Raw genomic sequence first — 12,469 nt, forward strand, 5'->3', positions numbered from 1 at the left:
CAATATGTATGCCTTTTATTGCTTTTTTTAAAATCTTTTTAAAAATATTGAACTGACTGGGACCTTCGTACAAAATTCAGTGTTAGTAGTGAAAGTGGGTATTCATGCCGTCCTTGTTTCTAATCTTAGGAGGAAAGAATTCATTTCTTCACAATTAAGTATGATCTAAATAGTGGATTTTATAGCATGAGAACAGTTATAATAGTAGCTTTAAAATCCTTGGTGGATAATTCCAACATCTGGGTCATCTTGGAGTGAATCTCCGCTATCTTTTCCCTTGAGAATGGGTCCCACTTTTCCAGTTCTTCATATGTCGAATAAGTTTGGATTGTACACATTATAAACGTTAAGTTGTGGAGGCCCTACATTCTGATAAGAGAACACCTTTTCTCTAATAGGTTTTGTTTATTTTGTTTTAGCAGGCATTTTTTTGTGATTGAACTCTAACTTCAAACTCTGTTTCTCAGGTGGCAGGTCCAGTCTCTTTTAGACTCTTTTGTCTCTGGCTGAGATGCTTTTGTTTTTGCTGTGTGTGTCCGTGGTTTGGGATCAGCCACAGACAGGAGCAGAAAGAATTTGGGAATTCCCTCTTTGGCTCTTTCTCTTCCAGAACTCTTTCTTCTCTCTTTTGGCAGTTATAGTTGCCCTGAACTCAACCTTCCATTTTCATAGTCCAAAAAGATGGCTGTTTTTCCACCAGCACCACACCTGGTTTGCACAATGGCTGCACCTGCCTCCAAGCTAAAAACAGCAAAAATGGGCGCTCACTTCCTGTAACATCTTTTCTTTATTGCGTGGACTTCCCACCAGAATCTGCCTGCTCTGTCCACTTTCCATTGTTTTCAGGTAGCTGCATTTTGTATTATGTCCACCTAGAAAAACCACATCCAGTCATTCCTGGAAGCAGAAGTCTGGTATGATGTGTTAAGGACAAATATTAAGATGCCTCTCTCCCTCTTTTTTTTTTTTTTTTTTGCAGTATTTAGATGCTTTTTTGTTGTTGCAGGTTTTCAGCTCCGGCATGGGCTTCCCTATTCTGCTGTGAAATTAATATGACATCTAGTGGCTTGGTAAAGAAGATCTGGACTGATTTTAATGGACACATCTGGATTTGGGGCTTCTTAGGTGTGGAGGTGGAGACAGGGGCCAGTGGTTACCATTACGTTTCAATGGTTGGTTTTTAAGAAATATTTGTTGGAAAACAAAAACTGACACACATAAAGACCTTGAATTCAATCTACTCCTTAATAGTTAGGAAAGAAAGAAGAAGGGAGGGAAAGAAAATGGAAAAGAAAATAGGAAAGAAGGGTAAGAAAAGAGAAAAGGGGCTGGATGTTGTGGCTCATGCCTGTAATCCCAGCACTTTGGAAGGCTGAGGTGAGAGGATCACTTGAGCCCAGGAGTTTGAGACAAGCCTGGGCAACACAGGAAGATGACCCCATCCCTAAAAACAGTTTTAAAAATTAGCTGGCATGGTGGTGTGCATCTGTAGTCCCAGCTACTCGGGAGGCTCAGGTGGGAGGATCACCTGAGCCCGGGAGTTCAAGGCTGTAGTGAGCCGTGATCACGCCACTGGACTCCAGCCTGGGTGACAAGAAATGAGAGGAAGAGAAGACAGAAGGCAGGAGGAGAAGGAGAGCTGGGATGATGTGGGCAAAGGGCGTTCAGGGAAGAGGAAGCAAAGCTAAGGGCCTAGAAATATGAAATAACCTGACAGATCCAGAAACAGGAATTGGTGGGAAATATGGCTTATAAAGTGGTCTGGGCCTGCGCGAGAGCTCTCATGGCGTGGGGTGGAATCCACATTCTGTACAATGGGCACGGGGCAGCCCTTCGAGGGCATCACCATCAAGGGAGTGCCCTGGATCCTCCGTGCTCATGTCCACTCCTTGCCTCTCCCCTCCTCTGCAGTGCAAGGAAACTCAGCCCTGTTGCCGGTCTTCTCCAGGTGCTGAATCAGCTGCCTTTCGCTGAGTGGCCAGTGGAAGGTTCTGGTAGGAAACAGGGTGGGAAGAAGGGAGAAGTTAGGGTCTCATCCCGTCTCTCTCCATCTCAGGTGGCATATCCAGCAGTGGCTCTTTTTCCTTCATAGCTCCAGCTCCTGCCAGAGGGACCCTCACAGGTTCTGGCTCCTGCCAGTGATCTGGCTGGGGGATCTGGGAACAGCACCTTACCCCTTCACTCCTTCATCCTAAGAATGGCAGTGACTTTGTATTCCTGAGAATCTTGGGATTTCTCTTCCCAGCACCTCCACCAATTCCCTGCATCAGATTCCCTTTGTTGTAACTACTTGGAGTGGTGTCTATCTTCCTAGTTAGCCCCTGAATAATATCGGGGGGACACTGGCCCCCCACTGCTCTGGTTTCCACACAGAGGGCTTTTTCTCTAAATCCTCCTGGCGTCTTGCTCTGCTCCTTAATCCTCCCGATGGAAGTGTGCTGAGTTAGCTAACTAGTGGGTGACAGCAGTCGGCCCACACTCTCATTTGCGTGGATCTCTCCTGGTGGAACTGGGGAGTGCATTTTAGCATGCTCATCATTGCCAAGCTCTGTCCTCCAGAGTAGTCTGTTCTGTAATGCAGGTGATATTTTAATCTCCATCTGTCTGACTCCCTGAGTCTGAATTGGTTCCCAAGGCTGGGACAAGGAGTCCTGTTTTTTTGTTTGTTTGTTTTTTTGTTTTTTTCTTTCTCAAACTCCAATAGCAAGGAAGTGGAAAAAAGATTAGACTTTTGGCCCGGCGCGGTGGCTCACGCCTATAATCCCAGCACTTTGGGAGGCCAAGGCAGGCGGATCACGAGGTCAGGAGATCGAGACCATCCTAGCTAACACGGTGAAACCCTGTCTCTACTAAAAATACAAAAAAATTAGCCGGGCGTGGTGGTGGGCGCCTGTGGTCCCAGCTACTTGGGAGGCTGAGGCAGGAGAATGGCGTGAACCTGGGAGGTGGAGCTTGCAGTGAGCCGAGATTGCGCCACTGCACTCCAACCTGGTGACAGAGCAAGACTCTGTCTCAAAAAAAAAAAAAATTAGACTTTCAGTACCACTACATTATAGCCAAGAGAAACTGATTCCCCTCAGCCTGGCATATTAGGGAGAACCTTACCTGCAACTCCTCTCCCCACATATTCTCCTAAACTTAGACTCTTCAGGAACCACTGAGACTCTGTCATAGCCCTGACGTGCAATGTCAGGAGCAGGGAATAATGAGGCCAGCTTCAGAGTGTGGGAGATAGTGGCACAGGCCCCACCCTCACAAATGTCCACAGCTTAGCTTAATACTCTGTTCGCTGTCTTGAAACTCTCACTGTTTTTAAGAAGTTGTCCCACATTTTCATTTTTTCGCCAGACCCCTCCGACTATGTGGCTTTTCCTGGTACTCCCTCCCTCTTGGGCGCCCAAGCTCCTTGGATTGTTAAGGCTGGCGGTGCTGCCCAAAGCATCCCCCCCAGGACTTCTCGATATGGACAGCAGAGGGCAGCAAACTGCCATTTGAGGGCTCCTCACCCAGGACGACCCAGGGGTTTGAACCTGGCTTTATCCACGTGGGGTGAGAGGGGTGGGAGGAGGGTGGTATTAGTTGTTTGCGTGTTTTTAATAATTGAAAACCAGAAACCCGACACTCTGAGCACCACTTCAGGTGATGTGCTGTGTGGCATTTTCTGCCCTTGTGGAGTCCAACCATCCATTCTGAAACAGAGCAGTTCCTTTGACCTTGACAGTACAGTAAGTTAACGTTGTCCTTAGGTTCTCGGAACTACAACTTAAAGGGAAACCAATTTTACTACAGGCTAATGGCTATAAACTAGAGTTGAGTTCCTACAGTATATTTCAGGTCACAAAAACATCAGCAAACTTCTAGGTAAAGACTCAAAACACTTCTAATACTAAACACTGAAATAAATGTGAGCTATACATGCATTTGATGAATAAAAACAAGATCATTATTTACTTAGTAATTCCAGTTCAGGGTAATGAGTGCTCGAAGCCCCTCCTGGCAGCTCAGGGCACAAGGTGGGACCCAGCCCTGGATAGGATGCCATTCCCTCACAGGGCGCACTCACCCACACCCACGCTCGCTCCGACTGGGACCATGTAGACACACCAGTTCTCCTAATGTGCACATCGCTGGGATGTGGGAGGAAGTGGTAGTGCCTGGAGAAAACCTATGCAGACATGGAGAGAGAGTACAGACTCCACACAGAGTGTGGCCCCAGAAGGCATGGATTTTTTTTTTCTTATCCATGTTCTAATGAAATGGTGTAGGCTGGGCAACGCAGTGAGACCCCCATCTCCACAAAAAATTTAAAAATTAGCTGGGCATGGTGGTGTGTACCTGTGATCCCAGCTACTCAGGAGGCCGAGGTGGAAGGATCTCTTGAGCCCAGGAGGTTGAGCCAGCATTGTGTCACTGCACTCCAGCCTGGGTGACAGAGCAAGACCCTGTCTCAGAAAAACAAAAACAAAAACATGACATTATTTGAGGACCTGCTGTGCAAGCTAGTGGCCAGCATGTGCAGTGCCGCATGTCCCACGCTGCTCCTGATAATATCTAGATCAACTACAAAGAGTCTTCCAGGGGGTCTTCCCTGCATGGGGTCTTCCATATATCACCTCTAATCCTTACGGTACCTTAACAAAGTCTGTATTTTTATCTGCATTTCCCTGATGAGGAAACTGGACTCAAAAATGTACTTGATGTAACTTGTCCTAGGTCATACAACTGTGAAGTAGAAAAAGCTGGATTCAAATCCAGGTTTTACCTAGTCCACCTAGTGTCTAAAAGGTATGCTCCTTCTACAAGTCCAATGTGCCTCTGTGATGCATAAAAGGGACAATGACATTTTGTCTTGCCTTTACTTTGTAGGGTGAAGTTCTTGTCTGAAATAACAATCCCTAGGGCGGTGCCCCAGCCCTCTCCAAGGCACAGTGGACACCTGTAAACAGAAAAGCTCTCATGCACCAAATGCCTGTGATCTGGGATTGCATCTGTCATCAGGCAAAACAATGAGAGAAAAATGTATTAAAATCTTTTTGTTGTTGTTGTTATAATAATCCAACGGCCCATGCTACTCTCTCCTAAAGCCTCAAGTTCTCAGGAAAAGCTCATCATTGATTTGAGCCTAATGAAAACCGTCTTTGGTGAGCATGCTTCCACATTCCCAACCAGCTTGTAACAGTTCTATAGAAATGTGTTAAATTCAGAAGCTACTTAGAAGGCTTCCTAGCCTCCTAAGGCATCCCCAAAGCATGTCAATATCAGAATAAGACAGAGCTGACATTTTTCCTATTAGAAATGTTGTAGTCCTGGAATCGCAAACTCAAATGCACACCAGGGTCAGGCAAAACTTACAAATGCACGAAGCAGATCTGCTGTAACAGGCAGTATGTGCCTCACTGATGGGCATTCACAATGAAAACAAAAGTGCCGTGTGACTTAGCCCATCTGAGGGGTGAGGTTCATTGAGCCCATTATCTTTTGCTTTGCCTTAGTGGCTAGGGAATGCATGGCTGAACGACTATGGGTAGTGACAGTATGGGAAGGAGCGCTGTGTAGTGGCTAAGGCTGAGGGCTCTAGAATTACCCAGCAGGTTCAAATTCAGGTTCTATTATTGAGTAGCTGTGCATCTTTGGGCAATTTACTCCAGTTCTCTGAGACTCCATTTCTTTATCTGTGAAATGGTTTACCATGCAGTGTTGTGAAAAGTGAATGGGAAGGTGGATGCCAAGTGTTGACAGGACTCACACATGGAGGCTGTCATGCTATTCTCCTCCTCCAAAGTCGATCTGGAGTTTGGAAAGCAGGTATTCTGCTCCAGCAAAAGATGCTGCCTTGTTTCATGTTTAAATACCTTCTCCTGTGTCATGCTTTACATAAGCCCTTCAGCTGTTTTCAGAAGATAATTACACATTTTAAGTTCAACAACAATGAGTAAAATGGCCTTCCTTTGTTCCCTTTGCCTTCTCTTTAGCCCTTTGGGCTGAGGAGAGTATCTTGCCTGGAGTTGCTGGTAGGAAGAGAAGACCCTCCTTTATCCCAGGATGAAACTGCACATGGACTTTCTTGAATTTCACTGAGATAAACACCAGAGAAGCAAGTCCTGTTGCAACCCCCCAAAGCAACCTCTGTGAACCTGGGAAGGGGCACCTGCCAGATTCCCACAGTGTCAGAGTCCCCAAGAATGGGACCTCCTGCAGAAGCCCCCCAAGGACAAAGCTGAACCCTTCCCTGCTGAGCTGGGCTTCAGCCAAGAGGCCTTTTAGCAAAGGATTACAGTTCCAGCTGGGATCAACTGACTCCCTGAGGGATGAGAGGCAAGTTTGTCTGGGAAAGGGTCTGAGTTGGCAAGATCTGGGATGCTGGAGGGGCTCCTGGAAGGGAGGAAAATTTCCCTCCTCCAATGCTCCAAACACCTGGTTTGGACGAAACTCTGCTCTTCAACACAACCTGTGTACCTCTTTTTCTCTACACCTAACAAGGAAAGAAAATCAATGTGGTCATACTTCTGGCCATCCCAAACTCTGAATCCAAACTGGGGGTCTCCCACAAGACTCTATTTCTGTGGCCAGGACGCCCAATCCTGTCTGAAACTTCTTAGCATACAAAGTACAATGCACCTATTTTAAAACTTGGAGCCAGGTTTCAAAGGTGTTTTGTGTATTGTTTTACAATTAAACTATGAAGATCATCTATATTTCGTGGATGTAGATACAGGTGTTTGTGAACAGGGGTGGTAAGGCAGATTTATCAAAGTGATTATCACATTGAAATGTTAGAAGCTGCCTCCAATCCTTTTTGGAATGAGACTGGGTATGAAAATCAATAGGTAAATGCAAATTTAATTAAAATATGTGTCGATCAGTATCAACTGGCTCTAAGACAAGAGCTTTGAAAGGGGATTTATGCAGAAAAAGCCAAGTTGTAGGAACATAGGGAGCCAAGGCATTGGTTTCTAGATTTGGAGGGGAGATATGTAAAGTACTGGGGTTGGGCCTTGAATGTATTCACTCTCAAACTATCATCATGAGTCCCTGTCGGTAGGTGGTCTGGGGCAGGCTGGAGAGCCTGATGAGGTCAAGTCCATGGTGGGAAGAGGGACTGAATTTCCCCTGAAGAGAGCCTGCTATTCTTAGCACAGAATGGGAGAACTTGAGCACTTCACCCTTGACTCTTCCCTTCCTGCTCTTTCTCCTTCAGCCTCTTTTCCTTCTGCCTCCCCACACCCTCTTTGAAGCTCCAAAGTGGAGTAAGTGGCATTCCATATATACCTTTTCTTCCTCAGAACTTTGCCAACAGGATGAGGAGCCACCTTCAAGTGGAAACTTGAAGTCCTTTTCTTCTATCTCTTCCTTTAATCATGGCCCCTCCCTCCCACCTCTAATTGAATCATCCTTTCTCTCTTTAATAAATATTTTCAGAATTCCTATGCCATGAGTACTCTTTTAAGCTTGGACCTGTCCACAGAAGAGCCAAACCTGAGAGTCCTTGGTGATTGGCAGGCACAGGTGAAGTCCCTTTTCTTCCCTAATGAGGAGTCTTGACCTCCTTAACATTTTCCTTCCCTTATTACTGACGTCACTTTAGGACTCACCAGTCACATCTCTTCCATACCACCCTGGGGCCTGCATATTTTCTTAAACCACAGAAGGGAATTGACATTTACTGACACTTAATTATATTGAACACTTACTATGTGCAGCCTCCCTGGAGGGCATTGCTGTCCCTACTTCTCATGGTACAGCATGCCGGGAAACATATATTAAAAGAAAAAGCAGTAATTAAAACAGAAATGGGAGAAGGGGCCCAGGCTCCCAGCTTTTGGCTCAGTTGCTCTTGTGGCATGAGAGAAAGTGTAGGCTTGGGGCTGAGTTCGCTGGGAGTCTGTGGCTTGTCATGGCTGCGTTGTCAGCCTTTGCTTGTGGAGTTCCTCCAGAAAGCCCTCCACCTGAAGCCCAGGCTGCAGCACCTCTACACTCCACCCTCTATGATTCGATCCAACATGGAATGATGATCCCGAGTAATTTATAAGCTGACTCCACTGACATGGGCTCCAGCAAGTCCTGGCGGGTGTTTGGTGGTGCAGGGGGAGCGGCCCTTGCTGGTTGGCACAGAAACGGAACACCTGCAGGCCCCAGAACTGTCCCCAGCCCGCTCTCTCCTGCAATCTTGCACTGGATCTCACGTTCCAGCTCAGATGTGAGGGAGATCAGACATAAAATTCCAGGGGCTGAAAATTCCTCGCATAAGGACATCCCCCCCATCCTCCCTTCTAATTTCCAGTGAAGCAGAAATTTTAACTCCTCAGGGCAACTTTTCAAAGCTGAGTAACTTCAGATTACACACTCAAGTCCTGTTATTTGTTAACAGCATTTGAATGAGTAACTTGCTCCCATTGCTTTGAAAATATTTCTTTTAAATGGAGAAGCAGGAGCAATTAGAGATGAAAAGTACCTGTACAGTGCCTTCCAAGATGCCAGAGGCTGTTCCGAACTGGCATTCCAAAGTGGGTAAAAATAACTTTCTTTAGGAAAACATAGAAGGAGGGTGACTTACAGGGGGAAGGAGCAAAGGGCATGTCCGAGCTGTAGGAAAGACCACTCTGTGCTTGTGTGTCAAGGACCTGTCCTCTGATGGCCAGTTTCAGATGCAGACAAGTGTTTCTTGCTACATTTGGATTTTCCAGGCTGCTAGAGAAACAGGCCTAGGCTTTTGGGATAGAACAGGGATGTCGACTAAATATATATATATTTTTATATATATATTTATATATATATAAATAAATATATAAATATATATATACATGTGTATATATATACACACATATATACGTATATATATATACGTATACATATACATATATATATATATATGTATATATACTAATATTCTGAAAACATGGGGCCTTTTCCCACCCTGCTGTCTTTTATGGAAGGGTCATCTTCCCACAGCACACCCAGCAATCCCCACCCACTTCCCTAGTGCTAAGCTAAGCTATAGAAACTCTGGAAAAAATAGATGTTTCTACTTCTCAAAAGAAGATATATATGTGGCCAAGAAGAGTATGAAAAACTGCTCAATATCACTAATCATTAGAGAGATGCAAATCAAAACCACAATGAGATACTATCTCATACCAGTCAGAATGGCTATTATTAAAAAGTCAAAAACTAACAGATGCTGGTGAGGCTGCAGAGAAAAGGAAATCCCTATACCCTGCTGGTGGGAATGTAATTAGTTCATTAGAAAAATTAGTTCAGCCACTGTGGAAAGCAGTCTGGAGATTTCTCAAAGAATGTACAACAGAACAACCATTTGACCCAGCAATTCCATTACTGGGTATATACCCAAAGGAATATAAATCATGCTACCCCAAAAACACATGCACACATATGTTCATCACAGCACTATCCACAACAGTAAAGACATGGAATCAATCTAAATGCCTATCAGTGGTGGACTTGATAAAGAAAATGTGGTACATATTAACCATGGAATATTATGCATCCATAAAAAAGGATGAGATCATGTCTTTTGCAGCAACATGGATGGAGCTGGAGGTCATTATCCTAAACACATTACAGTGAACAGAAAACCAAATATCACATATTCTCCCTTATTAGTGGGAGTTAAACATTGAGTACCCATGGACACAAAAAAACGAAAAACAGACACCGGGGCCTACTTGAGAGTGGAGGATGGAAGGAGGGTGAAGGTGGAAAAACTACCTATCAAGTATTATGGTGATTACTGGGTGATGAAATAATCTGTACATTAAATCCCCATGATGCCAATTTACCCATGTAACAAACCTCCACATGTACCCTTGAGCCTAAAATAAAAGTTGGAAAAACCCCCAAAACAAGTAGGTAGTTTTGATGATGCCTCCAGGATGGACACTTCCGAGCACCCTGTAGTCTCTTGCACCCCAGATGGGGACTGCAAAGCTGTCAATAAGAGGGAAGATGCTCCCTGCAGTCAAAAAATGAGGCCAGAGACCTGGAAGATTATTGAACACTGGGAACTCCACCAGGCTCTGAGCTCAGCTCAAAGAGGGTGTATTATATAGATCAGTGGTTCTCCAAATGGGTTGCACAAGAAAATCACCTGGGGAGCTTTAAAAATCCTGATGTCGGGCCACACAATATCTACTCCAACCCCACCCCAGCCAAGGTCTATACTCAAGAAACCAGAATCTCTGGAGGTAGAACCCTAGGAGCAGTCATCGTCACAGTTCTCAGGTGATTCTAATGTGCAGCCAAGTTTGAGAACTAGTTGCGAATAGTTGAGAACTAGATGCAAAATGGTTGAGATGATTCAGAGACTCTGGGACCCACTCAGGGAACAGATGAATGTATAAATGAATGATTATTTCTTGCTTGGATTACAGCAAAAGACTTTTGGCTGGTCTTATTGCTTACTCCCCACCCCCTTTGTTTTGTCTCAGTCCGGCAACCAGAATGAATTTTTTTCTTTTTGAGACAGAGTCTCACTCTGTCACCGAGGCTATAATGCAGTGTGATCATGGCTCACCACAGCCTCGACCTCCTGGGGCTCAAATGATCCTCCCACCTCAGCCTCCCAAGTAGCTGGGGCTACAGGCGTGAGCCATCATGCCTGGCTAATTTTTGTATTTCTTTTTTTTTTTTTTTGTAGAGATGGGGTTTTGCCATATTATAGAATTATCTTTTCAAGAATATAAGTTGGAGTGTGTCCCTGTTCACCTCAATACCCTCTATGGCTTTCCCACTAATTCAGAATAAGAGCTGGCATCTTCATAATGACCTACAAGGCCCTGTATGATTTACCTTTGAAGACTGCCCCATGCCCACCTGCCCTCCCTCTGATATTATCTTTTACTACCACCCCCCTTCCCACCCTTTGTGCCCACGGTTCCAGCAATACTGGCATCCTTGCAGTTCCCTGCAGGTATTAGGTGCACTGCTGCCCCAGGGCTTTTGCACTTGCTATAATTCTGCTCTTTCCCTATATAGTCACCTGGCTTGTCCCTTACTTTTTTCGGGTCTTTGTTCAAATATTAACCTGCTCGCCTTACATTCATGCTCCTCCATGCCTACTCTGCTTATCAGGAGGTTTATTTTTGTGTATTTATCCTCTTTCTCCCTATCTAAGTGGATACTGGAGTCTGTACAGCATTTTTAGACCACTTACAGCTTGTGAAAAGTTGGGAATCCAAATTCCTGATTTCTCTCTTTAATTTCTGCCTGCAAGCCGGCCAACACTTTCTAAACTCATCTCTTAACTTTAATTCCTTGTCAAATGCAGCCAATGGCAACATATTATCTAAACTCTTCCCCTAGACTAGGGGTCAGCAAATAGCCAACAGACCAAATCCAGAGTGCTACCTGTTTTTGTAAATAAAGTTTTGTTTGAACACAACCATGTTCATTTGTTTACATATTGTCTATGGCTGTTTTCATGCTACAATGGTAGTTGAGTAGTTGCAAAGGAGTCTGTCCAATAAAGCTGAAAATATTCATTATCTGGCTTTTTATGGAAAAGTTGGCTGGCCTCTGTGTTAAATGTATAAACTCAGTTGGCTCATGGTCTGCTTTCCAAGTTATCGCCAGCCGTACTTCATTAAATTTTTTGCCACTGCATATCATGGATTTCCATCTATCCAGCCTAACTGGTAAGCTAATGCCACATCTCTTAGATTTTTTTAAACTATTGCAATATTTCACTCCTGCTGTTAGTCAGGATAATTGACAGCAGCTGCTACAATCAAAATCTCAGGGGTTTTGATCTCCAGGTAACCGGATGACAGTTTGTTTACTGCTCATGCAAAGTCAGAAGTCAGGTGGGCAACCATCCTCCATCTTGTAGCTGTAGTGTCTTGGAAGATGTGACCTCCAAGGTCACTGTAGCAAGTTAAGAGGGCGATGGAGGAAGAATATAATTCTCAACTGCCTTTCTTTTTATTGGCCAGAACTAGTTATAAGGCCCAGATCTAAATAGAAGAGGGACTGGGAAATTTAGAAGAGAACTTGAATGTTTGATTAGTTCTAGTCAGTCTCTGAAACATTGATCATTAACCTCCAAACAAGATGGGATCTTAACTCATTCCTGTAAGAGCCTCTTGGAGGATCTACATAGGATGGCCTTCCACAGCTCTTCCAGAGGGCCTGGAGGTCTTTCTTCATATACAGCTAAAGCAGGGAGTTTCTTTTCACTTGAGAGCTGCTAGTGCAGAAGAAAAAATAATTGAATGAAAGAATAAGGGTGTGAGTGAAGAAAGCAGGTTGGTGAAGAAAAGACCTGTGGGAAGGAAAGGGATACTTGAAGTCAAGAAAGGTAGCCATTGGGAGGCCTAGGCGGGCAGATCATCTGAGGTCAGGAGTTCGAGACCAGCCTGGCCAACATGGTGAAACCCTGTCTCTACTGTAAATACGAAAATTCACCAGGTGTGGTGGCAGGCGCCTGTAATCCCAGCTACTCGGGAGGCTGAGG

General features: G+C 44.7%; 1 annotated feature.

Moving 5' to 3' along the window:
• Positions 3,517–3,576: a silencer, noted in NCBI's record as "silent region_3164". NCBI's record gives its function as "represses an Ori minimal core promoter by ATAC-STARR-seq in GM12878 lymphoblastoid cells {active_cell/tissue: GM12878}" and the evidence as "EXISTENCE:reporter gene assay evidence [ECO:0000049][PMID:35858748]".

This window comes from Homo sapiens, chromosome 11 (assembly GCF_000001405.40).
Source record: "Homo sapiens chromosome 11, GRCh38.p14 Primary Assembly".
In the NCBI taxonomy this organism is placed as follows: Eukaryota; Metazoa; Chordata; class Mammalia; order Primates; family Hominidae; genus Homo; species Homo sapiens.